The following is a 23,211-nucleotide window of genomic DNA, read 5'->3' as shown; positions in this document are numbered from 1 at the left end:
GTGGGACGTTGAATGAGTGTTGTCACCCCTCTGAGCTCCAGGTTTCTCAACTGTAAAATAAGGATAATGAAAATGTGCCCGCCTTAAAGGGTGGTTGCGAGGTTGAAGCAATTTCATTCAAATGCAGTGTTCAGCAGCATGGTGTAAACACTGGCCTTGGTGTAGACGCCTAATAGATGCTGGGTGTTACTGTGATCCCTCCTGTCCAGCATGGCCTTTGTCACCACCAGAGCCCAGTGAAAGTCACTCTCCTCATACTTAGCCCCAGGGAAGGGCTGAGATTGGCTCTCCTAGTATCATATGCTAGTCCTGCACCAAACACGGTACCTAGGGTAACCGAGAACTGTAATGGTGCCTATTGTGGCCCTAGGTTGAATAGAGATAAGGCTGTATCAGACAGGAAAAACTTTCTGGAGATAACTAAATAAAAATATTATAGTTCCTTATATCTACCTTCTTACTTGTTTGCCCCACAAATGGGAAATAAACACTTCAAATCAATTAGATTTTCATCCTGTCCCAAATGTCCAACCAGACCCCAGGTTTCTGACAACGCCAGTGCCATTTCTCAGAATCCTCAAGAATTTGGAGAGAATGAATCCATCCCATACCCTCACTCTGTTCCTTGAGTGGAGGGACCATATCTGGCTCATCTTCATATACCAAGTGCCTAGCACTATGATAAGCCCATGGAACACGTTCAGTAGATACATTAACTCAATGTGCAAATGAATAAATGGGATACCAGCTTGCAAGGGAAAAAAACCGTCAGAGCAGGTAACTCCTCAAAGATCAAAGAGAAACTTGAAAAAAAATTTTTTTTTTTTTGCTTCTTTTCTTTTCGCAATCAGCATCTAATGAGGACTAATGGCATGGCAGGCAACTGGGCTAAGCACTTCGTCTATCGTCATGTTTAACCCCTCAGGGCCACATTGAAAGCTGTATTTCACATAGGCAGTGTGGTCTAATGGGTAAGAACACAGGCTATAGAATCAGACCTGGAATCAAAATCAGAATAGATCATGGCTCCAGCATTTTCTAGTTGTGTGATTTTTTTTTTTTTTTTTTTGAGACATGTTTTCACTCTGTCACCCAGGCTGGAGTGGAGTGGTGTGATCACAGCTCACTGCAACCTCCACCTCCCAGGATCGAGGGATCCTCCTATCTTAGCCTCCCAAGTAGCTGGGACTACAGACATGAGCCATCACACCTGGTTAATTTTTGTTTATTTTATAGAGGCAAGGTTTCCTCATGTTGCCCAGGCTGGTTTCAAACTCCTGGGCTCAAGCGATCTGCCTGCCTCGTCCTCCCAAAGTGCTTGGATTACAGGCAGAAGCCACCACTCCCACCTAGCTGTGTGATGTTGATCAAGTTACTTTCTCTCATGGGGGTTTTCCTTATCTGTAATATAGAAATAACAATACATACATGACAGGGTTCATATATGAAACATAGTGAGGCTTGGGAAAATTTAACATAGTGCGTGGTCCATAGTAATTGTTCAATAAATAGTAACTGTTATTTTTCCTGCCCTCTTCCACTCATACAGAGAAAGAACTGATCAGAGAAGCCTGAAATGCTCACCTTAATATGTGTTTCCTGGCCTGAAGGGCAATTCCTACCTTGAGAGAGGTTGGTACTAAGCTTCCTTCACTTCCCACTCAGACATGCTACGAGACTGCCCTTCCCAGTTATCTTAGCACCCAGGGGACCTTGTGACAAGCTTTTACCAATGAAATTTAAAGAGGAGTGTTGAATCACTTCCAGCAGAGACAGTCAAGAGTAGGTGGGGCCTCTCCAACGTTGTTCACTTTCCTCATCTTCCAGCTGCACCACCATGTCACATAACTTTGAAGTCATGCCATAAGGGTGGGTCCCTGTATGCCACGAGAAGCAAAGCTCTCCTTCAACCAACATAGGAAGGACTAAGACAAGAGCAAGAAATGAATGTATCAGTGAAGCCACTTAGATCCCAGAGCTCATCTGTTTTAGCTGATAATCTTGCCTACCCTAACTATGCCACCCTCATTTAATGGCCTTTTTGTAACAATCCAAGATGGCGCTATTCTGCTTTTTCTTTGAGCCCAAATGGTGTGTGCAGCCAATAGACACTTCCTCATGGCCAGAGACCACTTTCCTTGGCAGAAAAATGGTGCTGGTCTGAGAGATTCATTGGAAAGAGGATAGGAAATGAAAGAAAATCCTTACCTGCCTCCCAGGTTCCCCCATTGGCCAAATGATCCCATGACTATGAACAGTGATAAGCTTCCATTTAGGTTAGGCTCTGGCAAAATGCCTCCCTTTCTAGCTGTTTCTTGAGAAAACTCGGAATGAATATAATTATAGCCCAAGGACAGGGCTGTGCATGGCTAGATGACTTGTACTCACAAAATCTATGTTCCAATGGTAAATATATTTTCTCTGTCCTTTTGCCCTCACTTTTCCCAGAGATGCCTCTTCCACCTGGAAATAGTTTAAACCAATTCTGACTAAATCTCTGGTCTGACCTTGCCTAAATGGAGACCAAGAACACTGAGGTCTTTAGTACAGGGCCAGTCACGAGAAACACAGGGTTCACTGGGGTCAAATGTATTGGAAAGTTCACGGGTCCTTGGTCTGAGTCCTTTCTTTTCCAGTGACTGGGAGTGCAAAGGGGATGCTAAGAATAAACTTGTGTTATGCCTCAGTTACAGATGACTAGGCTTATTTTAGCCAGTCACCTTGTTCACTTCAGCAAGAGAAGTATTTGCTCACTCCTGTAAAACGACTCCGAGGTGTGTGGCTGGGCAGCTACAGCATATTGCACTGCTTTGATGTGTGAGGTGTGCCCGGCTCTTTTCCCATTTATCATCTTCAATGGTCACAGGCCTTGGGAAAAAGTTATTTCCCCCATTTTATAGATGACAAAATTGAGGCTTGGGGAAGTGAAATATAGTGTAGTACAGGGGTTACTTTGCTGTACTGTACAAAGTAGCATATTGTGTAGTGCGTTCTGTACAAAATACAAAACATCATGTGTCATAATACAGTACAAAGTACAGTGTAGAGCAGTAAGTACCTCCCCAGCTCCTGGCATTATTTTTGATGTGTCAAAGGGTGTGAACAAAACATAGTACTTCTTCTACTTAGTGCCTAGTATTAGAGCACCACTCTAAGGCACAAATATACATAAAGTGTTTGGGAAATTTAAAACACTGTATATATGCAAAGTATTAACAAGTTAATTAGTTGATTGACACAGAGGTAGCATAGGATAGAGGTTAAGACTGTGGGCTCTGGAATCAGATGGGACTGGGTTTGATAAAGTTTTGACCTCTCTGAGTTCAATTTCCTCAGCTGCAAAATAGCTATAAGAATATTCCCTGTCTTACAGGGCATTATAAGGCTTTAATAAGTTACAGTAAACGAAATGCTTAGTGTAATGCCTAACATACACTGTTGTTATTATAAATAACTCTGTTAGTTTTAGTTGTTTCATTTATGAAATGGAAAAAAATAATTCTTCCAATCTCACAGTGATTTCATAATTTGAGACTCTTTTAAATGCAATATGCCAATGCTGCAGATAAGATAAATCACCCTCAAACTTAACACAGGTGGGACACAGCTGGGAAAAGATGCACAGAATAAGATTGGGCTCCCTGAGGCCGCCCCTCCCTGCTGCCTTCCCCTCCTGCCATGACATTCAGGTGCCCCTGGCAAGGCAAAGCTGGCGTTGTCCCGACTCTGAGTTCCAGAGCCCCAGCAGCAGATCCGGCTCCTGCAGCCTCCCAGCACACTGCTGGCAGAACACACGGCCAGAAATAGCTCCCCAGGTGCAGGACTCTCCCTCCTGGACTTGCCTGATGGTACCATGAAATGTGCCTGCATAGCCTGGTATCCTAGGAATCAGCAGTGTGGGGGCTGGGTCCTTGGACCCCTAACATCCTTCCAGATAGGATAAAGAATACCTTTGCCCTGTCTTCACCAAGATTGTCTTCATTTTGTCTTCCTGATCCCACCCAGTAGCCAACTCCTCTATCACTCTTGGATTATACAAATATTTATTGTGTACTTAGTCATGCCCAACCTTAAACTCAACACCTTCCCATTATATGCATAACAAAATCTCTTTATACCCCAAACCACTGTCTTGAGCAGTGCCTGTTCACAGTTCTACATAAATATGAATTGGGCATCACCTGTGTCCAGAGCCCTATGCTAGTCACTGGGAATAGAGAGATAAATAAGACAAAGCCCTCTGGCCAAATATATACATTCAAACACCAATTAACAGGTTCTGGGATTGTTTCTCTATTGACATTTCTATTGATCAACCTAATTGTTTATGTATTTCACAGTAATTATCATAGCTGGTTAGCCATGGACCAGCTTCTTTAGCCTTGGGCAAGTAACTTCACCTTTCTGACATTCTCTTTTCTCCTTTGCAAAATGTGTTAGGAGAGGGAATCCAGTGATAACATTAAATGAAATAGTGAATGTGATGAGCACGGCACCAACAGCGTAGTAAATGTTCAATAGTTAGCACTTGATCTGATTCTTCCAAAAGCTGTAACATCCCCTTCCAGGTGGGGGAAAGATAAATACATAGTATGCATGCTACAACCTCTGTTTCCTGCAAGGATGACAGACATTACTAATTGATCCAAGCACTCTTTTCTACTGATCTCAGATATAGCCCTAGAGTCCATCTCAATACAGTGCTCCAGACCACAACTACCAATTGGTTAGAGATGTTGACACTCTCTGTGATTTTTTTTTTTTTTTTTTTTTTTTTTTTTTTGCCATATTGCTCTTATCCACTCAGTTGCACAGTTCTGAAGCTTGGCTGGCACTCTAAGAAATATCTCTTTCCTTTCTGAACACTTTTCTTGGGTGTTAAATGTAGCCTCCTCAGAGACCAAGCTACGTGACCCTTAGACCCAGATGTATGCAAATAGTGTCCATTAAATATAGATCCGGATTGATGTGCCTCTGACCAGCAAACTTGGCTCCCATTCTACTGACTTGCTGAACAATCTTGGGCAAGTCAATTTTCCTTAGGGAACAATTTTGATACGTATTTTTTCCACACAGTTAGTGTGTCAGTAGGACGTGGTAGTTAAAAACTTGACAATTAGTGCCTTACAAGCTTGAGTTTGAATCCTGGATCCACTTCCTAGCTGTGTCACCTTGAAGAAGGCACATAGTGTCCCCATACTTCAGCTTCCTCCTCTGTAAACTGGAGATAATGACAGTATCCACCTCAAAAGCTTAAGCAGCTTAAAGGAGATGTTGCGTGTGCAATGGGACAATATTTTGAGATATTGATCTATGTGGATATTTTCCCTCTCTCTATATTTTCCCCTGTTCTTTTTTACCATTTAAGCAGGCCATGGGTTCTACTCTTATTGCCTCAGGGAGACGTGTGTCAGGCTGAAAACAGAAAGAATATGAGAGTGTTTTCATGTTTCCTTTTTGGAAAAGTCAAAGCCCTTAGGGAAAAGGATTTATGGATTCAGAAGAGAATCATGAAGAAACACAAAGGAAGAAAGATTTCTCCAGAACAGAAAGAGATTGCCTCCAGGCTGGGGAGAAGGGAGAGAGAGAGAGAGATCCCTAAGACCAGAAAGGTGCCACATGGCAGGGATGATGGACGCGTCCACAGTAACGTGTGTGGACTGATGGCCAATAGAAAGAGCTCTGCCAAGTTGCGCAGCCCTGGGTAAATACAACAACCTCACTGGGCTTGTGTTCTCCTTTACGTTACAAGGCTCTTTTCAATCACTCCACATGTGAGTATAAGGAAGTGGAAATCCCTACCAAATTTGGTGCTTAGAGAATGTTTACCCCACTCCTCCCAACACCTTCCTCATTACTAGCGACTCAGTTCATGCCCCTCTGGGGTGCCATCTTTGAGTTGAGCTGTGGTCAAGAGCATGTATGGTTAACTAATATCTCTTGTTTCCTTGTCTTGAAGGGTTTTTCCTTTTCATGGATAACCTTCTTGCTGAGAAGACACTTCCTGGCTGGTTGATTCTTCTGAGCGATTGCCCAGTGCAGACTGGGACCATCACTACTCCACCCCTGCCTCATTCAGCCCCATGAGGTCCACCTCATCTCTGTGCAGAACCTTCCTCCTCTATCTGAACCTAGTCTTGGAATGGACTTCCACTGAAGTAATCACCTAGAAACTGAGAAGCAGGAAAACAGTTGGACCTCACAAGTGACATTTTTTGCTCCATACCTTGACTCTGGGAAAAGTTTTATGAAAGAGAAAACTGTGGAAGCAAGCATGCCTGGACTAACTCTGGCCCTTACCAAGTGATAACCTTGACCAAGTTGCTTAGACTCTCTGAGTCTCACATCTACCATCCATAAAATGGAGACAATGATACCTATTACACAGAGTTGAGGTGAGAATTCAGTGAAATCTGTCTATAAATTGCCTAACACAGAGCTTCGTTTAGGAATCAAAGTAATTACACAGCATTTGTATTAACTTGCATGACCTTGGGCAAGTCACTTTACCTGCCTTGGCCTTAATTTTCTTTTTGATACTATTAACTCCTGCCCTGCTTTCTAGTCACTAGTTATTCATAAACATGTCTCCTATACTAAAATGTAAGCAACTTGAGAATAGAGAAAATTTTATTTTTTGTTTTTTGCATATGTGAAATCTTTTTGCACAAGTGAAAAAGGGTCATAGCATTTGTTGTGATCCTTTGTTTCTGATATAAATGAATATGCATGATTATTTAAATATGCACAGCAAAAGACCTCAGAGAAGAAAAACAAACCCAAGATGCCTGTGATTCTTTGGACCCACAATGTTTTACAGGTGTTTTGGAGAGAACTAGGACTGGAAGATCAGGTTTAACTTTATTCCTGTGTGGTCTTGAAAAAAATAATTTGAGCTGGTAGTTAGTTCCCACTGTCAGTTGAATGAAATAAATAAATCTCACTTTACCATAAATGTGGGGAAATGGTGAAGAAAGGCACAAATTAGATGCTGCATAAATGTTGGTTAGATGCAAAGGTGGATGGATGGGTAGATGGACAGGTAGATCAATGGGAAAAGAAAAAAGAAAATAGTTGTAGAATGGATGAATAGAGAAACTGCTGGAAAATAGATGGATGGGTGAATGAAATAATAAATGCATCAATTGTTGCTTGACTGACAGGTGGATAAAGGGTGGATGGATGGATGAATAGGTGGTGGTGGATAAATAAATGGATGCAGGAATAGATGATGAGTAAATGCATGATAAACGGATGGGTGGATGGGTAGATGCATGAATCAAGTTCTCAGCAAGCATAAAGTATTGTGCATCTGAAGAATAACCATGATTGCATAATGGCTGCACCTAACTGGGTCAGCTTGGGGTAAGCGTTGCAGTTAGAAGTCCCAAATTTCTCACTCAAGAAAGACTTATTCTCCTTGTCTGTTTCTCATTCCTAGGGAAACTTGTTTCCGGAAAGCATTCTACATTAATGTAGCATCAAATTGGCAAGTCCCAAAATAGAACTATGGGGCAGTGCAGGTGGACAGATATCCTGAGCCACATTCTCTCTGATGCACCACTGTGGCACTGGGATGGAGCAGAATGGAGCCACATATTGGAAGATGTAAACAGCTTGTCAAGAACTTCCTAGTTTCCATATGGTGCTCCTAAGTTTTCTCATCTTTCCTTATCTCAGGAGATTGGCAGAACAGGTGTTCCCAATAAGAGTTAGTGAGAGTTAGCAGCACAGGATTCAAATTCTGGCTCTGACATTACCTAGCTGTGTAAGTTAGACAAATCACTTACCTCTCTGATCCTTAATTTTCTCATCTACAGAATGGAAATTGTCACAGTATCTACCTCAAAAAGCAGTTGAGCAGATTAAGTGACATATTGCAGATAAAGCACTTTTCTCAGTGCTGGGTGTATAGTAAGTAGTCAAAAACTATTATTAGTAACTATTATTAAACCTTTTGACAGATGAAGAAGTTTTAAAATTGACATTTATGAGGTCACTGAGGCAGAGAAGTGAACTCTAGGGGTAAGGAGACCTGGATTCCCATTCACTGTATGACTTTGGGTAAATGCCTTTCCCTCTCTGAGGCTTACTTTCTCCATCTGCATAATAGAGAATGGAACCCATGAACTGTGAGGTTTAGCATTCTTGATCAGGGGTATAATCCCAGTGTCTTTTCTCACTCCACCACCACCATCAAACTGACTCGCTTTTGAACATAAGCCGGAATGGCCAAAGGCAACCATTGCAAATACTCAGTCATACCAGGAATCAGCAACCACTCGAGTTAAGGATTTTTGGCCCCATATTACAGATGAGGGCACTGAGGCTCAGGGTAGTGAAGGGATTTGCTGAAGGTCGCACAGCTACTAGGTGGTGGAGTAGAATTCAAGCCCAAGCACATTAACTGCAAAGCCAGAAGTCTTCTAACTATACAACACCCCTTCCTTGGCATGCGTCAGAACTGACATTTGCTTGGTGACTGGGAGTTGATGCTTTCCTTAGGTTGGAGGATTGGAGGGGTGGGAATGCAGAGCACGCTATTTTCCAGTGAGAGGAAAGGCAAAAGGCTTTTAAGAACTAGAGTAGGGGTAGTAAACATCAGGGTGGCTGAAATGGCATCTTGCCCAAGTTGCAAGCCGGGAGTCTCTGTGGTGGAAGCCTCAGCCTGAGCTTTCCTGGAAAACATTAAAAGCATCTAGGAGCACTTAGACCATAGCCTCTAGCTCCTGAATTCACACCACTACGTGGGGACAGTTTGAGAGTTGGCTTGTTAATAGGACATAAATGCTATAGAGCCAAGGTGGAACAGCCAGTGTTCTGGGGTGTGGATAGGAGTGGTGAGTGGAAAGCAATCATTTTTATTTTTTATTTATTTTTACTAATTTTTTTAGAGTTGGGGTCTTTCTATGTTGCCCAGGCTGGAATGCAGTAGGTATTCACAGGCGCGATCCCACTACTGATCAGCATGGGAGTTTAGATCTGTTCTGCTTCTGACCTAGGCCGGTTTACCATCCCTTAGGCAACCTGGTGGTTCCCAGCTCCTGGGAGGTCACCATATTGATGCCCAACTTAGTGCAGACAACCCATTGGCATAGCGCACTTCCGCCCAGAACTCCTGGGCTTAAGGGATGGATCTTCCTGCATCAACCTCTTGAGTAGCTGGGGCTGCAGGCATGTGTTATAGCACCCAGCAGAAAGCAATCATGTTAGTTTTTCTCTTTCCAAAAGCCCACAAGTGCCCTACAATGAACCCATTGTCAATGGCATTGATTGCTTGTGAGACTTTAGGCAAGTGACTTGACTACTCTGTGCCAGATTCCTTCTGTAAAATGAAGAGTTAGGGAGGGTTGGGCTACAGCAATCTTGAGGCCACCCCTACTTCTTCTGGTTGTCAAGGTGTCTTTTCTTTGGGGGCCATTTATAACCAGGACCCACCATGGAAAGAAGGTTTCATGACCCACATGCACTCTTCCCACTGCAGTTTGGGGCCTGTTCCCCTTCAGTCTGGTCCCTGCCATAATTGGGTACATGGTGTTTCTTCCTAAGGCTATTGATATCTGGGTTCCCCTTTCAATTTTGGGGGCCCACTCCAATCCCTCCATGCCCCCAAGGCCATTAAGAGGAATGTCATTCTAAGAGACTCTCCATGCAGGAAAAAGATACAGTATATACAGAGCAGTTGAAGAAGGCATGATGCTGGCACACTCTGTGGGTGAACAGAATGAGAGGAATTGAATGGGAATGCTTAGGCAGTGCAGCCTGGGTCAGTGATTAAAGACGGTCACACCATTCCCACCCTTGCCTGGTGATCCCTGCTCAGTGAACAACCTCTTTGGGGTCAGAAATCTTTCCCCACAGTGGCATGAGGGCATTAAACTTGGAGTCAAGAGATCTGGAGCTTATTCCAGGTCTTTATAAGACCTCGAGCCTCAGTTTCTTCATCTTTAAAATGGATATAACACTGGTACTTACTGTAGTGAGGATCAAACAAGATCAATAGTAACAGTTTAACAGTGACGATAGTAATGATATATCATTATTTCATGATGTGACTTTAGGAAAATCATTTCACATCTCTTAGCTTCATTAGTCCGTTTGTAAAATGTGAATACATTGATTTTTCTGTCTTCTTCCCCCAAGGAATTCTGAGCAGTGTGGTGTCTTGGGACTGGGTGCCAAGCAGCCCATATTTTAGCTACAGCTTTGGCACTAATTTTCTGATGCAATATGGAATGCCCTGTGCTCTTTCTGTGCCTCAGTCTCCCCATCTATCAAATGAAGAGGCTATATTTGAGTTCTGAAGGTCCCCCTGGCTGCCCTCTCATCCTGACAGTAGACTAAGTGCCCCAGTGAGGCAATGAGGATTTATAAAGAACTGACCATTGAAAGGTGCTATAATGATGATGGCCTCTCGTTCCTGCAGCAAACAACCATCCATATGATAAATCCTGCACCACTGCTCAGATACCTGCCCCTTCCGGATGTGGGTTGGGTCCCAGAATCACCTGCCACCTGGCTGTGGACAGGAGGCTGGGGCAAAACACTGGCCAAACAAAAGCCCTTTATCAGCTGGAAGTTCTGAAATCTGATTCCAGAAACACCCAGAGCTGCTCACCTGCTCTGCTAGGCACAGGCTGGGTGCGGATGGACATCTTGTCAGGATACCCAGACGAGTGGGTGGGCAGCAGGTGCCACAGGAGACCCTGAGGGGGCGGGATGTCATGTCTCACAGCGTGGGTGGGGTCACCAGAGAGAACTGGTGTCTGCTCACCTGGTTGCAGCAGAGAAGTTCAAACAAGAGCCCTGACGTTGGGCAAACATCACTTCTCTGAACCCAGAGCTCACCTGCAGACTACAGACCTTAGGCAAATCTCTCTCTTTTTGCAGGCTTCAGTGTCTCTTTCTGCTAAAAGAGGAGCTGAATTAGATCAATGGACCCCAAAGTTTCTTTTATCTCATATCTCTCTCAGTGAGAAATGCTGAGAACAAAACCCCAATATATGTGTATTTATTTACAAATTACACATGCGCACTATGGTTCCAATATGTTAAGCACGTTATCAAACCTATCCCTCAGCCCTCCACGTGTAAAATGAGATCGGGTGATCCCTAAGGTCCTGTTAGCTCTATCTAATACTACACCTCTGTAGATCTCTGAGTTTTCTCATCTGTACAGTGTGCTTATGGTTGTATTGTCCTCATTAACAATTTATTCAACAAATATTTAAAGATGACCAACCTTGAGCCACTGTACTAGGTGCTGGGATACCGCAAAGAATGAGACAGGCATAGTCCCCATCCCCAGTGGTTCAAACAATTCTCCTATGAATCAGAGGAAATAACATTACTGGTTTTGAATATTGGCAATTCCATATGGTTCAGACTATTAGGTGTGAAAGTGATTCGATGAGGGGAAAGTGCTACAGTTCATGCATTCTACCAACATGTGTTTGGTCCCTGCTGCGTATCTGGGGGAAGAGATTCGTTCAACAAGGAGCTCATAGTCACAGTCCCTCTCCTCATGAGGCCTCAACCGTTAGGAGAGGTATGCTTTAGCCAATGATCGCCCAAATCCATATATAATTACAAATGTGTTGAAAACAGTGATAAGAAAGTAATGTCTGTAATGAGGGGTATGACTTAGTCTGCAGCATTCTGGAAGGATCCCCGAGGAAACAGCATTTCCTCTGAGCTCTGGAAAGTGGAGTAGGTATAAATCAGGCACCAGGGGAGAGGAAGAGCTTTCCTAGCAGCATGTGCAAAGGCTCCATGGCAGGAAGGAGCCTGGAAAATGTGAGTAACTAAAAGGAATAAGATGCAACTAAACAGAGGAAGTGAGAGGTGGTGTTTTAGAAATGGTCTCAGGGAGGTGGGCAGGAAGTGGACCATGAAGAGGCTAGAGGCCATGGCAGGGAGCTGGCTCTGTATACTTAAAAAAACATGGGTCCAGGCATGGTGGCTCACACCTGTAATCCCAGTACTTTGGAAGGCCGAGGAGGGTGGATCACCTGAGGTCAGGAGTTCAAGACCAGCCTGGCCAAAATGGTGAAACCCTGTCTCTACTAAAAAAATACAAAAATTAGCTGGGTGCGGGGTGGGTACTTGGGAGGCTTAGGCAGGAGAATTCCTTGAGCCTGGGAGGCAGAGGTTGCAGTGAGCTGAGTTCGCACCACTGCACTCCAGCCTGGGTGACAGAGCGAGACTCCATCTCAAAACAAAAACAAACCAAAAAAACACAAACAAGAGAAAGTGATAGAGGGCTTTAGATGGAGGGAGAGAGGGCTTACATGGTCTGATGTGCTTTTCAAAGAGGTTCTTCTGGGTCTATGTGGATAATGGATAAGAGGGGCAAGGAAAGAGGAAAGCAGTATTGCTGCAAGTGGTATGAGATGGGATTATAACAATGGCAGTTACTAAACTGATTGAACATAAAACAAGATGAGCAAAACAAAACAAAAACACCCCCAACCTTAAAACCCAAACCAGAATGACAGGAAGTCCAGCCAGGAGAGAAGAATATACTAGCAATCAGACAGACCTGAATTCATCTCCTGCTTTCATCACTTACACACCGTGTGATCATGGGCACACTGAATTAAGATGACATAGAGACAAAGCCGAACCAAATAGGACAATGCCGAACCCTGAAACAGTCATTAAGCAATTCACATCTACGTGTGTCTGTTCAAAACAAATAGTAAGAACCTCCGGACGCAAAGGTTTCTCATCTAGAGACTCCCCTGGTTGCTGGATTCCCAGGGCTTACCTCCCCTCTGTGATACCATTTTTTCCTCCTCTGCAAAGTGTCTTATCCTATAAACATGTTGGTTAAGAGCTCTGGGTTCTCATTCCAATTCTGACTCTTACCAGCCATGTGTCTGTGAGCAGATCATTTCTATTCTCAGAGCCTCTGTTTTCTCATCTGTAAAATAGGGTCTTGAAGACACCTCTCTTCTGGAATTATTATAAGTACAGAACTGGATAAGAGATGAAATGTGTTCAGCACAGGGCAAGGCACATAGTAACACAAGGCTCTTAGCACACACATTCCCACCACAAGTGAGCGTGCACACACACCATGAAGATGCACGCTTCAGGCCCAAATGGCACCTCTCTTTCTGCAGAAGTGGCAACTGTCTTCTAAATTCCTGCTCAGTTGCCTAAGCTTAACTTTTAACGAAGCCAGAGAACAGTGATCTGTTGGTATTTGTACTCAGCAAAGCTGTCCGACAGCGGCATCTAAGCTTTGGGAATCCAGCAACCAGAGGATTCTCCGGATGAGAAAGATTTGCGTCCAGAGGATCTTAATATTTGTTTTGAACAGACACACGTAGACATGAATTACTTAATGACTGTTTTAGGGTTCGGCATTGTTCCTGTATTTGGTTTGGCTTTGTCTCTATGACATCTTAATTCAGTGTTCTATTTCACAGAGCTCCGCACAGAGGCTGTAGCATATGGGAGCTCCCTCAGCAAAATTTCAAATGGAGTGGGGGGCTGGAAGGTGTGGGGGGACAGGTGCCGGGAGAGATACACAGAGGGAGAGAGACAGAAAGAGCAGACTGTAGCTTCAAGAGTGTGCAGTGGAGGGGGCTACTGGGTGCAAGGGATAGTCTAGGTTTGCATGCATGAATATGAGAGACCAAACCCTTGCACCGTGGGAACAAAATCTATCACTGCTATTTGGAAGTCTAAACAGCATCTTTAAAGTTTCCTGATGTGATTGTTCACAATCAAAGGGACTGTAAATTTCATGCTTGTCCATAACACATGGAGGGACCCAGCCAATCTTCTGATATTGCTGTTCAAAGTCATCACTGGCTGCATCAGAGTCAGGAAAGAGGAGTCAAACAGAAGCAGATCAGATCTGGAACTCTGCTTGAGAAGGCAAGAACCCTCCTGGGACCACCTCCTGCCCCCAGCCCAGGACCTAGGAATTTCCTGAACTGGCTTACAAGGCCCCACTTGATCTGTTTTCTGCCTGCATCCTGGGAATCATCTTCTGTCACTCTCCCATTCACTCACTCTGCTCTAGCCACACTGACCTCCTTGCTATTTCTCAAATACACCAAGCATCCTTCTACCTCAGGGCCTTTGCACTTGCTGTTCCCTCTGCCTCAAACACTTTTCTCTCACTTATCCTCACAGCTCACCTCTCCCTTCACTCAGGGATCATGCTGTCCAACAAAGCAGCTCATTCCCTCACCCTCTATTCCTTTCCTTGGCTTTATTGTTCTTTACAGAATGCATTACCACCAGCTCTCATTTATTTATTTGGTTCTTCATTTATTGTCTTTCTCCTCCACGGGAACAGGGAGTTCCTGTGTTCATTCACTGTTACGTTGAGTAGTGGTTCAATAAAAATGTTGAATGACTGAATAAATGAATGAAAGTACAACCTAATTTTTTTTTAGCCAACGTGCAGCTTCTTCCACTTTGTGTATTAATTCCCCTGTGATTAATTTTATCTTCCACATTTGCAGGCTCGCTATAATCCCCCCATCACTGGTGGTTGTTCATGGAATGCAGACTAGATTTCCTATTAGCTAGAGCTGGTCCATGAAGGACAAGAAGCCTAATAGCCCACGCCAGAGACTGCATCCTTGAGCTGGAAAATGTATATTATATGAGCAGCTCCCTTCCACGGCTCCCCTCCACTAGCGTTGACTATTCCCCCACAGTTAATGTTCCCCTCAGAGAGTTTAGCCTGCTTTCTCTCCTATTAAAAGAAATGGTATTTGAGACCCTGCTGGGGGCAAAGGTCTGATTTTCTCTGATCATTCCTTGTATTTGTAGATAACGTTGATGAAATAGAAGAATCATCCCCATTTTGCAGATCGGATAACTAAAAATAACTGTGTGACTATAAGCAAGGGACTCCATGCTTCATTAAGGGTCTCTCCCTTCGCTGTTTTTTTTTTACATTCCTCTGTCTCTATTTCTCCCTACATTATCATGCTTAAGACAATAATATGTTTTACAGTTTCAAATAGCTAGAAGAAAAATACTGAATGTTTCTAATAAAAGAAATTATAAATGTTTAAGATGATGGATATGTTAATTACACTGATCTGATCACTGTACATTATATGTATCACAACACCACTATGTATCCCCCAAATATGTACAGTTATTATGTGAAAACAAATTTTAAAAATTAAAAAGACTGTCTCCCTTATGAAATATGTACTTATGTTGTGTCTACCTTTTCTACTAAACTCTGAGGCCCTCACTAGAGGACATTCAACTTTTTTCTCCCCAATGGGCCTGGCAAATAGTAACGAAAAAACCTATCATTTATTATTAATAGCAAGAGCCAACACTGATGGAGCTCTGACTGGGTGCCAAGTAGCACTTTCCATAAATTAGCTCATCCAGTCCTCACAGCAGCTCTTGGAGGGAGCTGCTATTATTAGCCCCATTTTATGGATGAGAAAACTGAGATTGAGAAGGTCAAGCTGCTTGCCAAGTCTCATAGCCCGTAAGCATTTGCAACCAATAAAATAAAACACTTCCTTTGATTAGTGTGCCCCTGAGGTCCATCAAATGTTTCAAACAGCTCTACCAATCTCCAGTGGCTCTTTAGGGAGCACCAAAGCCACATTTAAAAGTGAATACAGAGCATTGGAGCTGCTCAGGAGTCCAGTCCACAGAACCCAAGCATCACTACTGAACAAGCGCAGCCCAGGTAGTAAGGGGCTTTAGCATCCCCCCTCTCTGCATCTCGTTGGGTAGCCCCTGGCATAGTACACAAGAGCATCTGCTTTATGGAGATCTGGGTTTGTACCAGGCACAGTGCCATGCTCTTTATATAAATTATCTCATTCACTCCTCACTACAACCCCAACAGAGGAGTATTTCACAGATGGGGAGGCTGAGGCACAAAGAGGTGAAGTGACTAGCGGGTCCTGCAGCTTGCACGTAGCAAAGAAAGATTTGAGCCTGGATAGATTTGACTTCAGAGCTCAAACTCTTCATCATTCTACTTCCTCCACCTCAGAAATATTCTCTCACACTTCAGCGAAAGTCTTAGGAACAAGCAATTAAAGAGCTCTAGTTTTGCTAAGCCCCTGTGAATTCTTCCACTTCACGGGAAGGTAAATCCAGCCACTCTGAAAAATAAAAAATAAAAAAAACAGATTTTTTTTTTAATGTATTGCTCTTCTGCAGCATGCCTGAAGAGTTCATGGAGAAGAAGGCATGTGACCCAGGCTTCCTTCCCTATTAAAGGAGTTAGGGTTTTAGGGATGTTCCCTTTTTTTGGTGGCCTGGAGCAGTGGTGGAGGTAATGGAGACTTACAGGCCTAGAAAGCACATCCAAGTGGCATTTAGTCCAACCTCCTGCCCCCATACTGGCTAACATGTCTACTTGCCCAGACAGACAGATGTCTCTATCTAGGGAACTTCATTCTGACACCAGGGAGAGTCAAGTCTATTTGCAGTGTGTGCGTCTTTCAAGTTGCATTGATCAGAAGCCTCAGCGTCTCAGAACTGGAGGTGGGGTGGGGAGAGAGCTAATCTGTTGCTGGGTTTGAACCATGCACATTCATCTAATTAATGCATCCAACATTCACTGAACATCTACCACAACCTCGTTCTCTAAGATAGCACGTGTGCCGGGTGAACACAGCAGAATGTCAGAAATGACCCCCTGCAACCAACCCCTGTATCCCATTCAACAAATTTCACCTTTCAAAAGGAGAAAGGTTTGACCCACACAATAACGCTCCCTTCCTAGAGAAAAACGCTCATTCACCGCCAGGGCAAGCATTTTCTGTGACCCTCAGCGCATTGGCTCTTAACCACAGGCTGCTGCCAGAAAATCGCCTCTCAACAGCCCCTCACCTGGCTCCTGATGATCAAGTCAGCACAAACTGCTAACTGATCTCTTGGCACCGAGGGGAGTCTTGAATTAAATGGTTCAAAGGCATTTTTTTTTCTGCCTTACAATTTCCCTTTATGCAGTAAAATCTCCAATAGTTTGGAATTTATGGCCTTTTGGACAGGGCCTGGGCTGAAGTCTACTTCTGGTCTATTCTGCGTAGAAAGGATTTTTGAAGAAAATTAATAGCTTGCTAAAAGAATTGTAAGGAAAATGTGTGTTCTACTTAAGGGGATATCTTTTCTAGCCCTTTACTAACACTCATGCATCCATAAACAATTGATATGCAAATTTCAAATGATTTTTACATGTTCATTAAGCCTTTAGCTGCTACTATTGGTCGATATGGTGATATGAAATCATATTGTGGCTTGATCTAGCCTTAAGCACTAGGTTTTCACCGAGCTGAAACTTCTTAGGTACAAACTTCTCTAGGCTAAGCAATTAAAAAAGAGAATTAAGTTAATGCCAGGCAAAATGACTACCCTTCTTGGATGGGGATAAAAGGGAGGTGGCTCTCTACACTTTAGAGATTCATATATCTTATCGATTCATGCTGGTTCCCTTCCGGCTGGTAGATAAAGTTTGACAAGGACCACTGTACATCCTGGTTTGCCTGGGATGATCTCTGTTAGATCTTCCATCCTAGGTAATTACTAATGACACCTTCTTTCATTTTTAAAGACATTTTGATATAAACTATAAATCACATAGTCACTGTAGATTTGATGAAACCGTGGGATTAAAATTGTGATTTTTCAAGAAGTTTGAGCTTTCTTTAGACTGACAGTACCTGGTCTTCTCTATACAAACCAACAGAATGCTCCATGGAAATGTTATACCAATCAATTCTGAATCCAGATAATTATTTATTATCCCCAACCCCCTAACTGAAACAGTCAGATCAGAAAGCAGTTAGCCTCTTCTCAGAGACGAGGATTATGGGACCACTCTCTACCCTGCCTCATGTGTGTTAACTTCATCTGAATGTAGTTGTCCATCAGGAGTTGAAATCCCAATAAAAATGGTCAGCATTACTTGGGGGAGAAATGGGTAGGCATGGAGAACACAATGATGAGGAGTTGTTGCTTTCCTTTTGGCCACTATAAGCTTTGTTCCAGAGTCAATGTCTACTAAACAACACCATGCACCACACATAGGGGTAGAGCTTTACCTAACTAAATCCTTACAACCTGTTGTCTGAGGGGTTACTGTTATTATTTCTATTTTCAAGCTCAGTGTGGTAAAACTATTTGTTCAGGATACACAGCTAGTAAATGATAGAACCAGGACAGGAATCCAGGTTGTCTCATGCTCAAGTCTGAGCTCTTAACCACTATGATATACTGCTTCCCACTCTGCTCTACTGTTCTGACATTTGAGGCAGACATCTGGTTGCAATTTGATACATTATAAAGCTATTGCCTCATCAAGTATGCCCCACAGAGGGGTAGAGGAGAAAGAGAGACTAAGCAGGGGGTTGCTTAGATTGCAGTTGCATGATGTATGCATATTGCTATGAAATCAATGAATTGAATATATGTTTCTATCCTGGTACTAAATTACCTTGAGAGATAGACTTAAAATATCCTGAGGAAGTTTATTCAGAGGGGTGGCCTTCATCTATAAACAAATATTAAGTGTGACACCAACAGGACTGACTAGTGGTTCCTCCACCCACTCCCTGCCATCCCCCTGCAGACTGCTACATGTGCTGGTTTGCCGACTGTGATCTGGGCTTGACTCATGGAACTAAACGACATTTCTGATGAGACCAAGTCCCCAGATTGCCTCTAGAGGAAGCCACCCAAACCCAGCTGATATTGTGCCAATGCCTCTGTCTTCTTTCCTCTTGAGAACTCAGCTTTGGAAACATGGTACTTTCACCCTTAAGTAAGTGTAGAATGTTGAAAAGGAAGTGGAAATTGAATGTCACTGGATGTGGCTGGCTTGGGTGAGAATGGGGATGATTCAGGTTTTATCCAGTCTGTTAAAAGACAACTCCAATCCAACCTTTCCTGAGGACTTGGAAACAAATGTTCCCTTCTCACTCTCTACCCCAAACCAGGAGTAACAGTTATAAAACCGGAATCTGTTCTACAGAGAGGCCACGCCTATTACAGAAGTATTACACAGGATTCTCCTAGCGTGACATAAATCCAGGGCTTATGGTTCAGGCTTTCACCTCAGGGGTGGTTTCTAGGGCAAAGGAGACCCACGACATTAAAAGGCACCAAGAGTGAAATGATACTGGTTGCAGAGGGGGAGTGGAGTATTATAAAAGTCTCAGGATTACATTAGAATTAGCAAAAAGCTGCAGAAAGGATGAGGGTTGAAAGACCTTGTGGGCCATTCATGTGATTGCAAATATGACCAAGAAAAGGGCAGGACAGTAACAGAGAGACAGACAAAAGTGGAAAGTACCAAGCAAGGCAGATAATAGGTGTGCTTTCCTGAATCAAAACACCACCAAGAATCCGCTTTCCTCTCCCTGCACCCCTAAAATAGATGGAAGACTCTGGACTAAATGCCATACTTCTAGTTTCCTGTGAAATTTCCTCTAGTTCCTTCTACAAGGGCATTTTCTTTGGCCAGTGCAGCACCTGATTAGCCAACAGTAGGTACGTTCCAAAGGTGGAATAGATAGCAGAAACCCAGGAAGATAAAAACCACTGACGTCAAAACTCTATACACAGAACCTCCTTCGGAGCAGAGAAGCATCAGCCTTTAATGGCATTTGGTATTATTGTTCCCCTTCTCCAGCCTGTGTCAGTGGGTGGGTGGGTGTCCCCTCCTTCCCGTCTGCAAACACTGGCTGGTGCTGCTTTAGCTTGAAGCCTGCTACACCCTACTGGCCTGTTGTGATGCTTGGCCACCCATTCCTAAATGGGACACCTATTTCTCTAAAGACCTGTATGATCCTCAATAAGACAGTGAAGAGGAAAACTTCTCCAATCTGGCTTTGATTCTTCAGACATAATTTCCCATACGTCTTCCACCTCACACTCACTGGAAAGTTCAGAATCAGTTGTGCCAGAACAGACGTTCAGTCTGTCCTAAGCACTTTTGCAGACATGTTTTCAATCTGCTCCCTAATGCAGACTGCCAGGATTAATAAATCCTCCAAGTGGTCCCCCTGGTCCACTTCTTTCTTTTCTCCTACTAAACCACTCATCCAACACCAGCAAAAGATGAGTTTTCATACTACCTTGATTTTCCCTGACAGAGAGCACAGCCTTCTTCCCTTCATTCTTAAACTCCTCTAAATTGAATGATTTATGAAAAGAATTGGATTTTTCTCTGTCTTGGAATGCTTCCATTTTCCCCCAACCTCCTCTCCCTCTCACCCCACCTCCTGTTCCCCTGTTTCTTTCATTTCTTCCCTTATTCTTCCTTCCATCAGCACCATGTCTACCACCATCCAAGGATCGGTTCTCATCCCTGAGTTCAAAGCAATCAGATTCTTTTTGGAAAAAAAAAAAAAAAACAAAAAAAAACAAAATAAAACTCTTCCAAGATCATCTTCACGATCTTGGAAGGCTCCTCCCTGACTCCTGAGCTCAGAGTCTTGGTTTTGGATGCTGGAGAGGAGAGAATTCAGCAGCAGCGGCAGCAGCCGCCAGAAAGGCGTGGAGGAGGGTGCTGTTTTGGGTGTATTTGAGGGAACAGCATATGGGCTTTTGTCAAAAATGTTCAAAGCTCGCTAGTTTCCGAGCCGAGGATGGAAATGTGTGCTATCTCTGAACGCTGCTTGAGCTGGCTCAGTTCTCCTTTTCTGGTACAACACCCCCCAAACATCTCAAATCCACCATTCCTTGGCCCACCTGCCCTCTGGACTCTGTGACACCAAGAAAAGTTTTTCAGTCAAGTCGTACCCCATCTGCACCGCCCACCCTCAGGTAGCAAAACCTCTTGAATAGGAGCTACGGGGGTCCAATAAGCGTTGCTTTCCCCCAAAGAATTCCTGTCCCTTCTCACCATCTTCCACCTCACACAAGCAATGAGTTCCCATGTTTCAGCGGGAGCCGCCGAGTAGTGACGGGAAAAGACAGGCGCCCTGGCCCGGCTGCCTGCATCCACCCCTCCGGGCTCTGGGGCACAGGCCAGAAAGGAGGACCTTCAGGATCCCCCCTTCTAAGAAGGAGATCATTACCTTGGCAGCGGCTTGCGGGCCGTGATACTGGCGACAATGATGCTCTCGGGACGGGGGGTGGCCACCGCTTTGAAGGTTCCTCGCCAGAACTTCTCAAAAAGCTGCTTCTCGCCTTGCTGAACGCTCGCCATCGCCAACCCAAAGGGGCCGGGGCGTCCGGGGCGCTGTCCAAAGTGCTGAAACGTGGATTCCAAACGGGGGCGACACCCAGCTCCCGGCTCTGTCCGGGTGAAACCCAGAGAGGGGTGGGGTGGGAGAGATCGGAGTTCAGGGCGGGGGATGGGACGCCCCAGCCCGGGCAGGCAGCAGAGAAAGGAGGCTCGTCCGCTGGGCTTTCTTCGCCCTTCTGGGTCGGCTCCAGGCTGCGCTCTGAGCTGGCTGAGCCTCTGCGCCCCAAGAAGGGAAGGGAGGGCTGGCTTTCTGGGCAGCACCAGGAGAGAAGAGGCGACGGGGTCGGATGTGTGTGCGTGCGCGTGTGAGCTCCGGCGCGCCCGGGTTTTGTCTCTCGCACAATGTGACGTTGGAAGAGGAGGCTGGTCGCGCGAGCTGCACTTTCCTCCCCCCTCTCCGTCTCTCCTCCTCCCCACCAACCCCCTCCTCCTCAGGCTCAGCCTCCTGCCGCCATCTGCATAACAAAAGCCCGCAGGTCTTGGGAGGAGAAAGGGCGGGGCGTGCGCCTGTCACCAGGGCCCCGCGGCGACCGAGTTGCAGCGCTGATCCCTCTGAGAAGCCATCCTGGCACCCCAATCTGCGCCAGGCAGGAGATCCTGCTTCCCAGGCCCCTCTCCTCTCCCATCATCGCTGGCCTTCCTCAGCCCTTTCCTGGGTGCCCCCTTTGGGCCAGGCCACCTTTCTTTCCAGCCCCTTCGCAAGTCTTGTAGCTGATCTTCTGCGTGGGGGGGGGGGGGGGGTTGGGGGGGCTCGTAAAAAACTTAATCTATCCACCCCAGCCGGCCTCCCCCAGACCCTCACTTTTGGGAGACACGGCCTAGGCCGGTACAGAGGGTGCCCTGCGTTCCTCTTTGCGCCGGGGGTTAGCGAGGTCTCCACCACCCAGAAAGTGCCATTTGATAGACAATCCCTCACCAATTCGGCTTCTCGCCATCTGCCGAGCAGGGCCCCCGCCCGCCAAGGGGCGCAGCGTTACATCTGTGCATGCGGAGCTGTCAAGGGTATCTCTTTTGTGTCTCACAGCCGGCCTGCCCAGCGTCCCCGCCGCCAACCCCGTCCAGAGGAAAGAGTTCCCATCTCACCCCACCCCACCCCCATCCACTCCTGGGGAATCCGCCTGCAGCCACTTTTCCTAATGCCGCTAGTCTCGGGAAAGGAGTACGTTTTGGAAAAGAAAGCGCTTAGTGGGAGGGTTGGAGAGGAAAATCTCGAGGATTAGCAGGGGGATAGTTACTTTTCGGTCTCTCCTCCCCATCTCCTTACCGCCTCGCAGTTCAATCGTAATCCCAAGCAAGTGGAGGTTTAGAATCCCAAATCAACCCCAGACACAGAAGATCTGGTTAGAATGACTCTTGTTTTCCCCCAGGGTTTTCATTATAAAAAAAAGAGATCGTGGCGGGACCCCTCAGCCCTTGCCTTCCTGGAAGCCTTTTAATCTTAGCAGAGTTGTTACTCCCCCATCTCCCACCTAACGCCCTCCCCCTCCCCCCAACCCCGCTTCCACTTTCCAGGCTGTAAATTCCTGGAAGGAGGCCTCGCTCAGTCTTAAATGCCTCCAAGCACCTGGTGCTGAGTCCCAGTCACAGCGAGAATAAACTCCTGCTCTTTGCTAAAGCAGATAGCAATGGGGACCCAATGAGGGCGGGGTAGGGCGGGGGGGTCGGGAGAACAATGGGAACTCCAGAAATTCTCTGAAGGGGAACAGGAGGTAACTAGGAGGTGAAGATGAAGAGGCCAACAGAGAGGATAAGATGGGGCAGGAGAAGAAAGAACCTTGGAGTAAATGAGTACCCGCCCCAAAGGGTATCTACGTTTGAAGTGTGTGTGTTCGACACGCCTGCGTCCGCTTATTTGAGTGCCTGAGAGCGCTACTTGCTCTGCAGTGACCCCTTCTGGTCAACAACGAGAGGTGCATTTGCTGGCTTCTTATGTGGGTTGCCGGGGGAGAGGGCCCAGAGGTGGGGGTCAGGCCTGGGAAGGTTGGAGATGGAGCAAAGTGGAG

The 23,211-nt window shown here is 45.2% G+C and overlaps 1 protein-coding gene and 1 pseudogene across 1 annotated transcript in view, besides 1 other annotated feature; both read right to left on the bottom strand.

Annotated features, from left to right (window-relative positions):
* SRRM4 (serine/arginine repetitive matrix 4) overlaps positions 1-21,511 on the bottom strand; it is a 181,511-nt gene extending 160,000 nt beyond the window's left edge. The window contains exon 1 of the mRNA NM_194286.4: positions 21,039-21,511. Coding sequence (NP_919262.2) covers positions 21,039-21,169 — 131 coding nt within the window. The 5' untranslated portion in view covers positions 21,170-21,511. The remainder of the gene's footprint in view (positions 1-21,038) is intronic.
* RN7SL508P (RNA, 7SL, cytoplasmic 508, pseudogene) lies at positions 8,893-9,195 on the bottom strand (annotated as a pseudogene).
* Positions 16,609-17,135: an enhancer, noted in NCBI's record as "OCT4-NANOG hESC enhancer chr12:119423722-119424248 (GRCh37/hg19 assembly coordinates)". NCBI's record gives its function as "activates a minimal SCP1, AML or CMV promoter by ChIP-STARR-seq in primed H9 embryonic stem cells {active_cell/tissue: H9 hESC(primed)}" and the evidence as "EXISTENCE:reporter gene assay evidence [ECO:0000049][PMID:30033119]".
* Positions 21,512-23,211: the final 1,700 nt, after the last annotated feature.

This window comes from Homo sapiens, chromosome 12 (genome assembly GCF_000001405.40).
Source record: "Homo sapiens chromosome 12, GRCh38.p14 Primary Assembly".
Classification (NCBI taxonomy): domain Eukaryota; kingdom Metazoa; phylum Chordata; class Mammalia; order Primates; family Hominidae; genus Homo; species Homo sapiens.
Note: the sequence above shows the minus strand (reverse complement) of the source record. Positions and strands in the feature narration are given on the sequence as shown.